The sequence below is a fragment of the Homo sapiens genome, chromosome 4 (assembly GCF_000001405.40).
Source record: "Homo sapiens chromosome 4, GRCh38.p14 Primary Assembly".
Classification (NCBI taxonomy): Eukaryota; Metazoa; Chordata; class Mammalia; order Primates; family Hominidae; genus Homo; species Homo sapiens.
This window is the reverse complement of record NC_000004.12, coordinates 170475918-170493769: the sequence shown is the minus strand read 5'-3', so window position 1 is coordinate 170493769 and position 17852 is coordinate 170475918. Positions and strand designations below refer to the sequence as shown.

At 34.9% G+C, this 17852-nt stretch overlaps 1 annotated feature.

Annotated features, from left to right (window-relative positions):
* Positions 17105–17305: a silencer, noted in NCBI's record as "peak5147 fragment used in MPRA reporter construct". NCBI's record gives its function as "represses an SCP1 promoter by STARR-seq MPRAs in K562 erythroleukemia cells {active_cell/tissue: K562}" and the evidence as "EXISTENCE:reporter gene assay evidence [ECO:0000049][PMID:32103011]".

The following is a 17852-nucleotide window of genomic DNA, read 5'->3' as shown; positions in this document are numbered from 1 at the left end:
ATTTTTGGTTTTTATAAACTCAAGGAAATGGTGAGAAGGATAAAATTTCCCCTAAATTTAGTCACATAGTTCAAGAAGAAAAAAGCATCACTAGCCTCAGTGATGTTGAATCATAAATTTTGAATGAGTGAAGGGGACATCACAGCTTTGGGAAGTCTAGCAGTTTTTCTAGTGTCCAAGTACTGGAGTACTGGAGTAAGCAGTCTAGTATATCATCTAGGTGTATATAAAACACAATCTCATGTCAGCCTAGAATATCTCATCAATTTCTGCATCAAATAACCTGGAATAACATAGATAAGGATAAAATGCTGACCAGTACATAGTGAGACTATTCTAAAACACAGTACATTCTAAAAGAAAAGAAAATATGGAGGGAGTCAAGTACAGGAGCAAAGGATGCAGGTGCTCTTAAGTGGTTTGCTCTTAGGTGGTTGTTGAAGGATGCTTTAAGTGTGTCATAGGAGAGGTCTCTGACCAAATAATTTTTATAAGTGTAGATTATGTGTTTTATATATAAAGTGGATGCATAAGAAATCCAATTTTGGCTGGAAATAGTCTTGGCTTACACTTGTAATCTCAGCACTTTGGGAGGCAACGGCAGGAGTATCACCTGAGGCCAGGAGTTCAAGGCAGGCCTACTACATAGAATATATACAGCCAGAAATATAGCAAGACCCTGTTTATAACCCCCCAAAAGATAAAAATATAACTTTAAAAAATTTTCCAAACTAGGTGAAAAACTGCAAGATAGGAAGGATTTTTTTAAAAATCAGCAACATGACCAATATGTTCTTATATTACAATGATTCCCATCTTGAATGGCTCACATCATTTTGAACCATACTTTATTGACTCAGTGGAAAGTATTTACTGCCTACCTCCTGCAGGCACAGTTCTAGACATTTGAGATGTAATAATGAATAAAACATAAAATACCCTGCCTTCAAGAGAGCTTGCTTTCTAGCAAGAGAACATATTTTATAAAAATAATTATAATAAATGAGTGAGTTACATAGTGTGTTAGAAGGTGACAAATACTATGAAAATAGAGCCAATAAGATCAGTTGCCAGCATGGGGAGGCAATTTGGAGTTTTAAAGAGCACCATTTCTGTAGGTATTATTTCAAAGGCGATATTTGCACAACAACAGAAGTGAGTAAAGAGAGAAAGAAAAACTGCCACAGTTGGAAAAGTCCGTGTTAGATGGCAATAGGAACCATTCATTTCAATCCCAGGCATGGAAGCAGATCGTCTGGTTGCAGGTGCTATGAAGTAATAGGTGTGATGGTGGCAATCTGTGTAAGTTCTTTTCTCATTGCTTTAATTTTCTCAGTGAAAATGTGAAGAAAGTAATCAGTTGAGAGAAAATAAAAGGAAGGAGAACTCGAGTCTGAAGTCAGGGCAGAAGGTAGAAAATATCAATCTAGGAAAGAAAACAACAACCTAGGGAAATGGCTTATGACTGCCAGGCAGCATTCATAGCTCATTTGGGTCTCACAGTGGGAATACCCAACTTATCTGCATGTTTTTCTTCAGCCACCATCAGCAACATGAGTGATGCCACAGAGTAGCCAAGGACTGTGGTTTTGCCAGTTGAGTAAGACAAGACGATGGGCTTGCGGGAGAATGCAAGGGAGTGGTTAGATTTATTACCCATGGGATGTATGCTCAGTAAGAAGAGAGAACATGAAGGGGCTGAAGAACAATAGAAAACTTGTAGAACCAATGAATTAGAGGTCTTACTGGAGTAAAAATATTATCAGGATCAGAATAACAGAGGGAATAAATTGAAAACTTAGGAGGAGGGATAAAATTTAGACCGTGAACAGATTGCAGTTATTAGTAATGACATAGGTCTACTATATGATCATAGGAATGCATGACTGAAGAAGACAAGACAAGGACAGTTGGAGAAGAGGCATTGAAAAGACTGACCAGCAAGGTGGTTGGAAAAATCTTCTACATGTATTTCAAAGTCACCCAGAATTAAGCCTGAAGTTGTACTGGAAAGAATGACAATGATCCAGAAATTAAAAGTGTATAAAATAATGCAAAATAACCTGGGATCAGTAGATGGCAGTCATAATTAGGACAGTAGATTGCAAAATCTAATGACAAGATACTCAGTGCTGGGAGTTTGGGAGAGGAGGGAAAGAGTGGCCTGGAAGTGGCAAGGAAAAGCAGTATGGTACCTGTCCTACCTTTAGGAACAGTTCGGGGAGGATTGTGAGTGGGAAAACAGCCACCCCTTGAGAAGGCTATAGGGAAAGGAATCCCCAAATGCTACCTTGGGATGGTACAGTGTCCAACTCATAGTTTACAAAAAATCATTTTATAATACAAGCTTTATCCTGCCTAAGGGGCTAGGCATGGTAGATGGGAGTTTAGATTCCTGGAGAAAACAATCTCAACTCAACAATTCTCACTCCCCATTTTGCAAAGAGTTAGCGATTCTTCCAAAGGTGTCTTAGGAAACCACCTGGTATTAAATGCTGACTACCAGAGTAAGATTGTAGTCATCGGGAGGATACACCCAGTGTCCCAATCTAAAAGAGCCATCCCCTGTGTACAGGATAAACCTTATCATGCTGTGCTGCATATGTATGTATACAGAAAATTCTCACAGGATGCCAGTGCAACACATCTTCACTAATAAAACTCAGTCACCAAATTTCAAAACTGCAGCACTGAGCTTATCAGAAATAGGCAAAAATAAAATTCCTCCAGATTTGTATAGGCCTTGCACAAGATAAATCTGCTCTCAAGAGTAGAAATTTTACTTGTATTTTTCACTTGGCAGAGCACAATCAGGACCTCTCTGCCATCTTTAAAGCAATGAAACATTTATTCTAAATCCCATGATTTTATTTAATATTACTGCTACTGTCAGCTCTCTTCACATGTGAAGAAAAGTTTAAATGTATCTCTTCAATTTCTCACACTGACTGATTAGTTACATGAATGGAAAAGTAATGAGTGACCGTTGGGAAACAAGTGCAATATTCATAATGAAAAGATTGAATAAAATGTTGACATTTTACTTTGAAAACTTAACATTCTTTTTTTCCATAGCTTCTTTTTTCTCATGCAAGTCTATCTCCATAACGAAGACAAAATGTATTTGCAACAGTTCATAGTAAAATGATAAGATATTGCTGAGTATTTCATAGTCTTAAAAGATTACCTTCCAATACCTCTAAGATAAATAATCCAACTTAACTTACCTTTTAATGTCCCTGTCATTTCATGAATAATGCATAAGCTAATCCTAACTAGCTTCTACAGTAATAAGATGTCTTCTATATTTCTGAAACTCTGAGCAACTCTCTTGAGTCAAGTTACCATTATATATGCATTGATAAGAAGATGATAGTAAGGATTTGTTTTATGAATTCGACAGAGAATGCCCTTGTTGGCATTTGAGTTTTTAAAAAATCTTCCTCTACATTCACGTTTAGCCTTAATTTAAAGCAACTTTATTATCAGCTTTTAAAAAATAAAAATAAAATTTTAAACACCTTAATTCCTAAACTTACAGTTCAAATCAATTAGTTATTTTTATCTACCTATGTTTAAGCTACCCATAAACTCAATTTGTTTACTCTATCACTTAGAAGAGTTCTATTTCCCTAATCTCAAAACTCTGAATTTACATTTTGCAAAGAAAAGTTTCTTCTGTCTGTAATTCTCTCACAGTTCAAAACCTAAATTTTGCCCTCATCGTGACATGGAATTCCTAAATTGGAAGCCTAGAGACACTATTCCTCTCTGCTTTCTTATAAACCTTCATACACATTTGCTTCTTAACATTTGTTTCTATCATATTAAAAAATATTAATTTTGTTTGGCAGTCAGTGAGTCACTATGACAAATGAAAGGTGAAAACTCATGGATAAACAACCAATTGATAAGATGCCCCCCACATATTATCTTTTTAAAAATTATGTCTGCTTCCTAGAGATAAATATATAGAAGTAGAAAGAGCATCTTAATGGAAAATTAATGTGAGCAACTACTTAATTCCTATTGATTCAACCTAACTGAGTCAGTTTAAAATCTCTTAAATGCTTGTGTCTTAATTATTAAAGCATTAATAATTATAAGTAGCTAGTATTTTACGGAAGAGGTCTTTACATGATCACAAAACTGTATTAAGATAATCAAAATGTTTTTCAAACAGTTGAACAGATATTAAAACCAAGATATTTGTGCCAGTACTAGAAAAAGCACCGTGTTCATGATCTTTCCAGATGAAAACTGCTCATAATAAATGAGCTGAGCCCCCGTTTTCTCATCTATAAGTAAAATAATAAATATCTTTTTCTCATAGAGGTAGTGTAAGGATCAAATAAGGAAATGCTCATGAAATGCTTAACAAATTAGTACATAATATCAATCAGCTAAGTCATCTATTATTGCTATTTATATTATTCCTAATATGTCCTCATAGTCTTGGCTTGCAAAATTCTGTTATATCTGTGTTTGTCTTCCTCAGTATTCCATGGCACACTCTCTCATTTTAGCCTAATGATTATTCTATTTCCTTGCCTTTGTTCATACTGTTCCATGATCTAAAATGTTCTTCATCCTGCGCATTCCCATTATCTCATTTGTCTAAATTCCAGCTCTTTTCATCTGTATTAGTGATCAAGTGTTGCACAATGAATTAATAACCCAAGACTTTGAAAAACAAACACTTATTACCTCAGTTTCTGTTGGTCCAGAATTTGGGCATGGTTTAAGTGAATACTCTGCCTCAGGGTCTCTCATAGTGCTACAATCAAGATGTTGCCAGGGTTGTAGTCTTAGCTGAAGGCTCAGATGAAGAAGATTCTACTTCCAGGCTCACTCACATGGTTGTTCATAGGATTCAGTCCCTCATGAACTGTTGATGTGAAAGCATTAATTGCACACTGGCTTTTGGCCAGATGCCACTGTCAGTGCCTTGGTACCATGAGCATGCTTCTTTTTTTTTAGTCAAAGTGTGCAAACTGAGAAGAAATAGAGAATGCCAACCAGATCAAATCAGTTCTTTGTAAACGAATTATGGTAGTGACATTTTATAATTTTTATCTTATTCTGCTTCTTAAAAGCAAAGCAGTAGGTCCGGCTCACGCTCAAGAAAATGGGATGGGAATACCAGAGGTGACCATTGAGGATCACTTTTGGAAGCTGCCTACCATAACATGTCACTTTCAAACCACTCTGACTACTCAGTTGCTATAAACCTTTATGATAATAGTTAGAAAATTAAAGATTAATTTCTAATTTTCAATTTTGACTAGTCTTGTACTCTTAGAATTCTGAAAGCATTAGTAGCTTGATTTAAAGTTTTTGATACAATATAAAATTGTGTGTGTGTGTGCATGTGTGTTTTATTTTCAACTATATTATACCTTGTCATGTGTTCTGTCTCTCTGGGAAAGCTTAGTACTAATAGCACATTATATAAATGCTAGTTGAAAGAGTAAATATTATTTCTCACTGATAAACAATTTAGATGATAGAATTTTAATATAATCTCATGAGAGATATTCAAATGTCAAAGATAAAAACATGTCTTTGTGTATAAAAATGCTACATTTAATTTTATTAGTGCAGAAACAAACTGCCCTATATTCTCTTCCTTTGTGACACAATATAATGTTTTCTTTTAAAAGATTATGTGACTTTAGCTAAAAGTCACTGTATTTAATTATAAGAACAAGGAAGCAAAGGAGAAATTACTTCTAAAAATTTTTAAGTTATTTTATGATTATAAGGATTTAGTTCTTTATATTTTTTCTTCACTCCCGCGTGTGTATTTACCGAAAATAATATTTAAACCAATCACCTTTAAACAGCATAAAAAAATCACATCTAGTGCATGTCACTTACTGTATCTCCCAAATGCTGGAAAAGATTAAAATGAATTACCACAGAGATTTTCCCTCTAAAATATTAATCTCCTATAAACATAGCTTTACATAGGCCTATACACCAACAGAAATTGGTCTTTAACTGGGACTAATATTCTGAATAGCCTAATGACTTATTTTTTCTTTTAATAGCCAGATCTGGCAAGTAACACCAAAGTCAGATGGATTGCTTTATATGACTTCAGAATGAGCTGTGTAATTGGAATTTGACTGATTCGAGAGGGAAAATCAATAAAGTCCCTTGAGCCATATAGTTGTATTAAGTTTTCAAACTTTATTCCTTTCTGACTACATTTATACTGGGGTGCAATATTCTATTTTAAATTCTTTTGCTGCTGAAAAGTAGAATAGTGATGCTAATATCTTCATTAATACTGATAGTCATATATAATTCTAAAGTTATTAAAGAATTATTACAATTTAAAAATATTTAGCAATAAAAGAGATCCTGATTAAAAGAAGCAAAGTAAAAGCATTGTTTGTTCCTTTCCACAAATCCAATGAAAGCAACAAATATATACATGGGGAAGATGCTCCATCCTCCATTAAACACAAAATATCTAAACCATCAAACTGACACATTTCTTCTCAAATTTTAAGTATATAGTTGACCCTTGAGCAACATGGGTTTCAACTGCATGGATCCACTTATATGCACGTTTTCTTCCGCCTCTGCCATCCCTGAGACAGCGAAACAATGCTGTCTCCTTTGCTCCCTTTACTCCCTCCTCAATGCTGTCTCCTTTGCTCCCTCCTCCTCAGCCTACTCAACATGAAGACAATGCAAATGAAACATTTGTGATGATCCACTTCCACTTAATAAGTAACAAATGTATTTTTTATGATTTTTAATTATATTTTCTCTAGTTCAAGAATACAGCACATAATACATGTAACATATAAATTATGTGTTAATCAACAGTTCATGTTATTGAGAAGCCTTCTAGTCAACAGTAAGCTATTAGTGGTTAAGTTTTTGGGGAGTCAAAAATTACACCAATTTTTACTGCATGGGGGAGTCAGTTCCCCTAACCCCCACATTGTTCAAGGGTCATCTGCAATTCAGATTTGAGTAAAGTTGTTGTTAGTAAATAAGCTCTTACGAAAAAAGAGACATGAATATTTTTGTGTACTCAAAACAAAGATTTATTAAACATAACACAAAACACTAATCATAAAGTAGTTATTTAAAAAGATAAATAAAGATAAATGAATCTGTTTAAAATCAAGGATTTATTTTCATGAAAAAAAATTATACTGAGACTTTCATATCCACTTAGAACACAGAAAGCCACAAAAGAAACTTGTCCCTAGGCTAACATTAAGAACAGGCTTGATAACTGTAAATTCATATATATATATATATATATATATATATATAGAGAGAGAGAGAGAGAGAGAGAGAGAGAGAGAGAGACAGAGCCAGATCTAGCAAGTAACACACACACACACACACACACACATATATATATATATTTTTTTTTTTTTTGAGACAGAGTCTCTCTCTGTCACCCAGGCTGGAGTGCAATGGTGTGATCTCAGCTCACTGCAACCTCCGCCTCCCAGGTTCAAGCAATTCTCCAGCTTCAGCCTCCTGAGTAGCTGGGAGTACAGGCATCTGCCATCATGCCCAGCTGTGGAGTTTCACCATGTTAGCCAGGCTGGTCTTGAACTCCTGACCTCGTGATCCACCCACCTTGGCCTCCCATAGTGCTGGCATTACGGGTGTGAGTCACTGTGTCTGGCCTATGAGATCATATTTTAAACTCATTGAATTGCTTAGAATACAAACACATTTCTAAAATTTACTTATATTTACTAAAGATGGAGGACAGAGAAAATATGATGGAAAAGCTTAGAAGCAACTCCATTGAATAATAGAAGATACATGTGTCTGGCAGGAGAGCTAAGAGACCCCTTCCAAGGCATAGACACTACATCTGTAGAAGTTTTGAGGGTAGGGAAATAAGACTGGGATAGAACCACCAGGCTTTCTCATCTCAAACTCTGCTGAAGAGGTCTTCAGCATGTCTTCATATTATTTAAAGACAACCGTGTACAAATCTACTTAAAACACCAAGAAAACTTAAACCCATCTTAGCTACAAATTAGATGGATTCCACTTTCCACACAAGCACTCCAACAAAAAGGGCTCATTTATGTATATTTCTGGGCATAATCATTTACTTAAGTCTTTTCTGATTTTTAATGCATAATGCATTATACAATTAAAAATAAGTCATGAAAAGAATCAAAACAATATGGCCAATCAAAAGGAGATGAAATAAATTATAGAACCAGACTCAGTCTTTAGAGTTATGATAAATATGTTAAAGGATATATTGTGAATGTGGACAATATGCATGAATACATGGAGAATTTCAGTAGAGAAATGGAAACTGTATAATAGAATCCACTGGAAATGATAGAAATGAAAATGGGATTTTAGAGATGAGAAAATCTTTCAAGAGGCTTATCAGTAGTCTGGCACATTACGGAAAAAAAGCAGATAATTTTTATTGGGTCAATAGAAATTATCTAAACTGAAATACAAGGAGAAGAAACGGTAGAAAAACAAAACATGCTGTATCTGTGGAACAATATCAAATAAACTACCTTATGTATAATCAGACTCAGAAAGAGAGGAGATAGAAAATGAGGCAAAGGAAACACACAAGGAGATAATGGCCAATAATTTTTCAAGATTGATAAAATATATCAAACCACATATTAAAATTCAGTAAAACACTAAGCAGAATAAACAAATCAGTCAGAAACATTGTAGTCAAACTGCTGATATCCAAGAATAAAGATTAAATCTCAAAATCAGAGAACAAAAAATGTTGCATGTCATAAAACAGATAAAAATGATTATTGAAGTCAATAGAAATTATGGAGGCCTGAAAAAAAAAAGAACAATTTCTTTATAGTACTGAAGGGTGAAACTGTCAACCTAGAATTGTATAACCAACAAAAATGTCCTTTCAAAATAAAAATAAAAACTATTAATGATTTTAAAGCATGGTTATATTAATATTCATGAGGGAGTTACTCTATAATGATATAATGATCACCCTATCTTACCTGGAAAATCTTTTCACTTTATATAAACATAATTCTGCAGCATTTTCCACGATAAGGTGAGACTATAGAGAATGAATAATTTTTTTTCAATGTCCGAATAAAAGGTTAAACATGAAAAAATAAAATAAAAGGTCACATAAGGGCATTTAAGTGACTCAAATTTTGTTTGACTTTGCGACAATTGTGCTGTCATTGTTTTGAATCCCCGTTTAAGTCCAGAAATATGTAACCTCACAGGCTTTGGAAACACTAATTATAGCTGAAGTGAATTCAAACAATCTTGAACATTAAAGCTCATTACTGAAATGAATCTATGTAGCCGAGTCTAGTTCGTTAGGGACCTCCTCTATAACTAGGAGTTTGTTAAATTAACAGTTTGCTAGACTGTTTATTAAAGGATAAGTAATAGAAATGTGCTAATTTGACTGTTTAACCACAGAAATTCTTTAGCAACTAAACCAGCAAAAAACTTTCATTCTAAAAAGAGAATTTTATCACAGGCTGTATATGTTTGCAAGGGCTTCCTTTACAAACAACCACAGACTAGATAGCTTAAACAACAGGAATTTATTTTCTCACAGCTCTGGAAGCTAAAGTTCAAGATCAATGTGTAGGCAGATTTGATTCTTCTGAGGCCATATTCTTGGCTTGTGTCCACAATGGCCTTTTCTAGGTGCATGTGCACCCCTGGTGTCTCTGTTTGCATCCAAATTTCCTCCTTTATAGGAACACCAGGCACATTGGGTTACAGTCCACTCTAATGGCATTGTTTTAACTTAATCATCTCTTTAAAGGCCCTATATCCAAATATGGTCATATTCCATGGAAGTTGAAGTTAGAGATTCAATGTATTTTTTTCAGAGGGACACAGTTCAGCCCATCACACTGTCCTGGTTTAGAATCTCTTTCGTATTATGATAATAAAATCTCTAAGTAACTTTAATTCAGCATTGTTATTTTTAAAACATTTTCTACAACTTACTTCTATCCTGCAGGTTAACAAATCCCAATGCCCCACAGTACCTAACAATATACCCAATAATGAAATAATAAACACTTTCCTACTACAATCATGAGCAAGGCAAGGATTTCAGTCATCATCATTTCTATTCATCTCTGCATTAGAAAATCTAGCCCAGGTGATTCAGTAAGAAAAAAAATATAGACATAAAGATTAGACAAAGAAATAAAACAATATTTATTTGCAGATGACATAATATGTATGTGCAAAACCCTTAAGGAATCTACAAAACAAATATAGAAATTATGTCAATAATCCCAGTGTTGTAAGATTCAAAGTTCATAAATAAAATTAATTATATTCCAATGTACCATCAATTCACAATAAAATACAATTTTAGAAGTTTGCAATTGGACACAAATAATTCTTAGGAATAAATGTGTATGGTCTTTACACTGAAAATTACAAACATTGTTGAAATAATAGAAATGAAACTTTTAAAATGGGAATAACATGTGCAAGGATTGGAAGAGTCAAAATATTAAGATATGAATTCTCTCCAAATTTGGGATTGAATGTAATCCCAATCATAATTTGAATAAGCCGTTTTTTTAGAAACTAACAAGATGATTCTAAACTGTATATGAAAATGAAAGGACCTACAATAGATAAAACAATCTTGAAAAATAACGAAATCAGAGGACTTACCTGATTCAAAGACTTACTATAATGTGGCCAGATGCAGTGGCTCACATCTGTAATCCCAGCACTTTGGGAGGCCAAGGTGGGTGGATCACTTGAGGTCAGGAGTTCAAGACCAACCTAGCCAACATGGTGAAACCCCATTTCTACTAAGAATACAAAAATTAGCCAGTTGTGATGGCCACGCCTGTAATCCCAACTACTTAGGGAAGCTGAGGCAGGAGAATTGCTTGAACCGGGGAGGAGGAGGTTGCAGTGAGCCAAGATCACTCTACTGTACTCCAGCTTGGGTGGCAGAGCGAGACTCCATCTCAAAAAAATAATAATAGTTGGAGCCATGGCCCGAGGCACCCAAGGGTGGTACCCCAGTAGGCCATGGGGCAGCTGAGGAAGAGACTGTACCCCAGCACCTATTGCTATCCTGGGGGCTGCTGGAGCGCTGGATGCTGCTGGACACCCTGGGAACAGCCTCCAAGGCCTCCAGCAGGTTTCTCAGAAAAAGAGTCAAAACTATTTCTCCCCTTGATCCAGAGGTCCTGTCTGTTTTTGTGGCCCCTTTTATCAGTAAAGAGGACAGGGTCAGGTGCTGTGGCTCACATCGGTGATCCCAACATTTTGAGATGCCAAGGCGAAAGGATTGCTTGAACTCAAGAGTTTGAAACGAGCCTCAGTAATCTGGCAAGACCCTGTTTCTACAAAAAATTTAAAAATTAGCTGAGCGTCTGAGACGGGAGGATTGCTTGACCCCAAGAGGTGGAGGCTGCAGCAGTGAACTGAGATTGTGCCACTGCACTCCAGCCTGGGGAACAGAGAAAGACCCTGTCTCAAAAACTGAAGAAATAAAAACACACACACAGTCAAATGCCAGTGCAAATGGCACCACTCTTGGTAAAATCAAGAAGCCACTCCTTCAGAAAGAAAAAAGAGAAGCCCAAAACCAGAGCAGAAGATGGCCTTCCCAGTGTCCCCAGAGTGCCAGATCCTGAAGATGTCACTGTCCCAGGAGGCATGGAACTCCTTGCTTTGCCCCAGCTGTGCTTCCCTGGGGGCATATGCACAGCCTCTGACCTGAAGGATTATGTCCATTCCCTGGTGCTGACCGATGTCTGTGGGACCAGGTCCTACAACGTGGTGGCCCAGTACTACGGACCCCTGCACAAGTACGGTTTCTACAATGGCGAAGCACACTGGGAGTCATCCCAACCGTCCCTGAGCACGCTGGCTCCATTATGCCCTTTGCAGTGTGGTGGTCTCCAGGTTCCACTATTATAATTCTCTCAATGACTTCCTCTCCTGTTTATTGACTCATCTGAAGCTCTGTAATTTGAAGCTGACAATCCTATAAAAGAGTTTGCTGCAAAACTGTCTTTAATACCTAGTTTACCACCTGGACCACTCTTTTTGGTAAATTAAATCTCAAGTTATGTTTTTCCTTGGCATATAGTAAAAGTAAAATGCTGAAGATAGTGTAAATGTTCTAAACTATTTCTGAAGTTCTGGCTGTTGCAAACCAAAAATAAAATCCTAAACCTATCCTCCCCAGCTGACTGAACAGACCCCCTCTTGGCCACAGGGAACCTAGAGAAACCTGAAAAACAGAGTTCCTCTCCAGGACAGAAGGGAAGAAGATATGCCTAGTTATACCCTCTCCCTTTTGGAGTACAGGCATCACTGACCAGCATTAGGTTAAAGTAGAGATCCTAAGACTGACAAAACAGACTCTTTGTGGCTATAGGACATCAAATTATAAACAAGACCTAAGGCCATGCAAGGAAAGGGTTAAGTCATTCCCTGCAAACTGTAAAATCTCCTGAAATGGGTTTTTTAATGAATGCAGTATAATATGGTCTACTTTCTGACCTGACTCTGCTATAGCATCACATGACAGATAGTAGACCCTGAAGGAAACCAACATATTTTACCCCAAAATATTCATGTATTTCTTTGACATATTTTGAAATGGCCCTGCAAAACTGTCTTTTGCAGGAGAAATTTGCATCTGTAGAGAACCTCTATTAATGTAGCCGTGCTTTTCTTTTCTAGGCCTTACCCAGATCTGTGAGAGATTAACTGAGAGTCTGACACCTTTAAGATCTGAAGAGAGATTTGCCATTTGTTCCCTCTGAGGGCTGCTGCCTGCTCACCTGCAGATGAGGCTTCATCCACAGGTAATAAGGGCCTTGGCCCCCACAGCCCCCTTATCTTGACTCAAGCGTTTCTGCTTTTTGACTTCACATCTTTAAACAAACTTTCTCAACCAATTATCAAGTAAAGAATCCCTAAAATCCACCTATGACTTATATAACCCACCTTCACTTCAAGATGCCCCACCTTTTTGGGCTGAACCAATGTACACCTTCAATGTATTGATTTATGTCTTTGCTTTAACTCTTGTCTCCCTAAAATGTATAAAACCAAACTAACCCGACTACTTCAGGACTACTTACTCAGGACCTCCTGAGGCTGTTCACCAGCCCTTGGTCACTCAGAATAAGCCTCTTTAAAAGAAAAAAGAAAAACAACATTAACAGAAAAGCCATGAACTGGAAGAATGTATTTGTAACATATGTATTCAACAGCAGACTAGCATTCAGGATATGTAATTAACTCCTACAACTACAATAAAAAGGCAACCCAATTTTTTAAATGGTAAAGACTCAACAGGCACCTCGTAAAGGAAGGTATAGGAATGGCCAGTATACTCCTCAAAAAAATTGCTTATTTTTTAAGCAAACGAGAAACAAGTAAATTAAAATCACAGTGAGATACCTCTAAACACACAAACACACCATGTACATAGATGCACACACACACAAACACACACACTAAAATAGCTGAAGTTATTTTTCTAAAAAACTGATAAAGATAGAACATTAATTCATTACTTGTGAGTTTCCCAAGAATTAAAATCAGTGTTGCATCATATTAACAAACTAAAAGGAAAATCAATTTCACTATCTTAATAGATGCTGAAAAAAAACTTGACAAAATTCAAAACACACTTATAATAAATTCTGCCCATAAATGAGAAAATGAAGGGAACTTCCTCAACTTGAAAACAGGTATCTATCGAAAATCTACGTTTAATATCACTTAATGATTAAAGACAGGGTTCTTTACTCCTAATATTGCAAATAAGCGAAGGCAGGTTCTTCCACTTCAACTAAGCACCTCGCTGGAGGTTGTAACCAGTGGAATAAGGTAAGAAAAAGAACTATGAGTAATCTCAAAAATATGTTAAGTGAAAGAAGCCAGTCATAAGAGTATATATTATATGATTTCATTTATGTGAAATTCCAGAAAATAAGAATTTAATATATACTAGATAATAGTAGATCAGTGGTTACCTGTTCTGGGAGATGGGGAAATAGAAGAAAGATTGATTGGAGGGGGTACAAGAGAACATTTTTATGTCATGCATATATTCTGTATTTTGATTGTGGTAGTTGTCTACATAAATGTATATAAATTTGTTAAAACATATCAAAAAGTACATTCAAAATGAATGCATATTTTGGATGGAACTGTATCTCAGTAAATTTTATTTTTAAAAATACCTTTAAAATAATAAAGATATCTCTTTTAAGGAGAAAGATTTACACTTTTGTTTCTTTAAAAAAAAAAAAAGGGGAAACACAGGAACTAACTAGTTTGATGGATACTCCAGTATCTTTTTGCTTTCATTTAGAATACTTGAACTATTAGTACTGTGGTGATATTAGCTTTCTTTAATTCAGGGTCTACTCATTGCCCAGTACTTTCCACATCCTATTCTCGAAAAATATATCATAGTAGATAGATACCCATATATACACAAAAATATGATATATGTATATCTCATACACACACACACACACACACACACACACACACACACACCCCTGTTTTACATATAAGCAAACTAAGTTTCCAAAAGCATTTGAACTTGCCAGAGACAGTAAATGCCAGACAGAAGATTTCTTAATTTGATCCCAGATAAAATGTAAATTATATTTGTTACACCATACTGCTTCTATGGTGTTAACATATGTTAACACCCTAGTACATTGACAATTGAAACTCTTTGTAAATATTGTTTTATATTACTGCAAAAAAAGCTTTTTAGTTTTTTAGATATCACACAACTTGCCAGTAATTTTGAGTTTATTTTTCTTCATCAACTTTTCAATTTGACTTGATAGAATCATTGTACTACATCTATAAAGGTAGGAGATATATATATATATCGGATATATATATATATATCTCTATATATATCCGATAAACATATATCTATATATATATCGGATATATATCTATCCGGATATATATATAGGATATATATCCAATATATATATATCTGGATATACATAGAGATATATATATATCTATGTATATCCAGATATATATATATCTCTCTATATATATCCTATATATATCTCTCTATATATATATCCTATATATATCTCTCTCTATATGTATCCTATATATATCTCTCTCTATATATATCCTATATATATCTCTCTATATATATATCCTATATATCTCTCTCTATATATATATCCTATATATATATCTCTCTCTATATATATATCCTATATATATATCTCTCTCTATATATATATCCTATATATATATCTCTCTATATATATCCTATATATATATATCTCTCTATATATATCCTATATATATCTCTCTATATATATCCTATATATATCTCTCTATATATCCTATACATATCTCTATATATATCCTATATATATATCTCTATATATATATCCTATATATATATAGCTATATATATATCCTACATATAGCTATCCTATATATATATAGCTATCCTACATATATATCTTATATATATAGCTATATATATCCTATATATATATCCTATATATAGCTATATATATATTTCCTGCATATATATCTCATATATATATGTATCTGCTTAGATATCTGCTTAGAGCACAGCCTACATATATATATCTCCTATATATGTATCTCCTATACATATGAGAGATTTATAGACATATTTATATATATGACACATATATAATATCTATGTATCTATATATATGCCGTGCTCTAAGCAGATTCCTAATTTTGAAGCTGAATGATTTAAAAAATATTATGATCAGCCTATTAGGATTAATAAATGTGAGTTTACAAATGTCCCCTATATAATGGAACCAGCTTTGCTGATCAACTCTCCCACATCACTTTAAACATAATGAGAAATAACTTTTAGCCAACCTTACTCTCAAACTCATTATAGATTTTATAATCACTCACAATTAGTTTATACAAAAATAGAGTGGAAATTATTGCCATTGATTCAAGCAGTCAACTGTTAATGAGTTGTCATCTTACATAATTCAGTGCAAAATGTTTGTTGCTTTGGTGACATTAGAAACTAATTGAAATATTTTGTAGTCTGCTTTTAAAGGTCAGTTCCAGATCTTTTCTTCAGCCTATTACTGTGGACGCAATTTAACTTCCTTTCTCAGTACAGGGAAAATTGTACATTGTTGATTTGTGCACTGTTCATTTCTAGTTAATCCTGAACTGGGCAGTTCTCTTCAGGTGCTCCTTTTTTTCCCTCCTTTTTGTCCTTAACTGTCGTAAGTTACATTCTTGGGCTTGAGCATTCACATTTTCCACATGTTGCTTCACTATGTCAATTTATCTCTTAATTAGCATTTAAGAGTTTCTTTTTTTGGCCTAAATTTGTAGGAAGATTTGACATGGAGACAGTGAATAATACTTTATATGAGAATGAAATGGAATACGTTACCAGAAATGATGTCAAAACAAAGCCAAATTAGTTGGTAATTCCAGATGATGTCAGTGCTAACAAGACTTAGAGCTTCACATATCTAAGGCTGCTGACAACGAATCAGTATCCCAGTAGAAGTATTAAATTATAGTAGATATCTGGGACATAGAAGAGGGATATATACACAAGTCTTTCTGACTCTTTTGAGGCACTAGGTCTAAGATAACCCCTAATGATTTACCATGAGGACAGATGACAAGGTGATGCGTCTCAATCATTACTTAATTATATATTTATTACATTTCTAATAAGTCCAGACCCTATTTTAAATAAAGTATTAAATGCAACCATATTAATTAATAAACATTGAATAAAATGTGAAAAGCTCTTGCACACAGGAACTGGCATTTGAATGAGGAGATCATTAATAAACAGGCATATAAACAGATAGTATATCAAGTGTATCTAAGTGTACATTTGATCATTTCCATTTTTCTATTAACATCTCTGTATTAATGATGTAATAATAATAAATAGAATTGTTTTAATCAAAAACAAATTATAAGTGTAAAGAAAATTGTAGCATGGAAAGAGGACTAATGGGAAATGCAAGGGAAGGTTGCTATTCTGGAGGATGCTTCTGGAAGGCATTCTGAGGAGGTGACTTTGAGCAAGAAGCAGCTGAAGTGAAGAAATAAGTGATGCACACAGCTGGGTGAGGAATATTCTAGGCAGGGGGAGCAGCACATGAAAATGCCTGTCATAACAAAGTGTTGGCTTATCTGAGAAACAGCCGGAGGCCAGTGTGGCCAGAACACAGCATAACGAGAGTGGAGGAAGGGGAAGCTGGACCCATAGCCAGGGCCAGATTATGTTTCCCTCAAAAGGCATGGCAATAACTTTGAATTTTATTCTAAGTAGGAGGAGAAATCATTGATTGAGAGGAAGTGGGTAAAAGATTTCTTTTGGCTATGTTTACTTTGCCTATAATTCTGTTTACATAAAGGCCATGTCTGAAAGAAAGTAATTTATAGACGTAGAGCAATCTCACTTGCATTTTGGTTCTAAAACTTGGTGACTACTAGCTTCTGCATCTCAAGCAAGTATCTGGCTAAATTTATTATATTCTTTGTCATATTAAATTACAATTAAATTAGTATGTCTGTCATTCTGCTAGGTTATAAGCTAGCTGAGCACAAACCTTTAGGTAATGTATTCTAGAACTAAGCAGGGGTCCTGTACAGATTTTTTTTTTAATTTAGCCTACTAAATATTGTCCTTTCTTTTTTTTTTTTTTTTTTTTTGAGGCAGAGTCTTGCTCTGTCACCCAGGCTGGGGTGCACTGGCACGATCTCAGCTCATTGCAACCTCTGCCTCCTGAGTTCAAGCAATTCTCCAGCCTCAGCCTCCCAAGTAGCTGGGATTACAA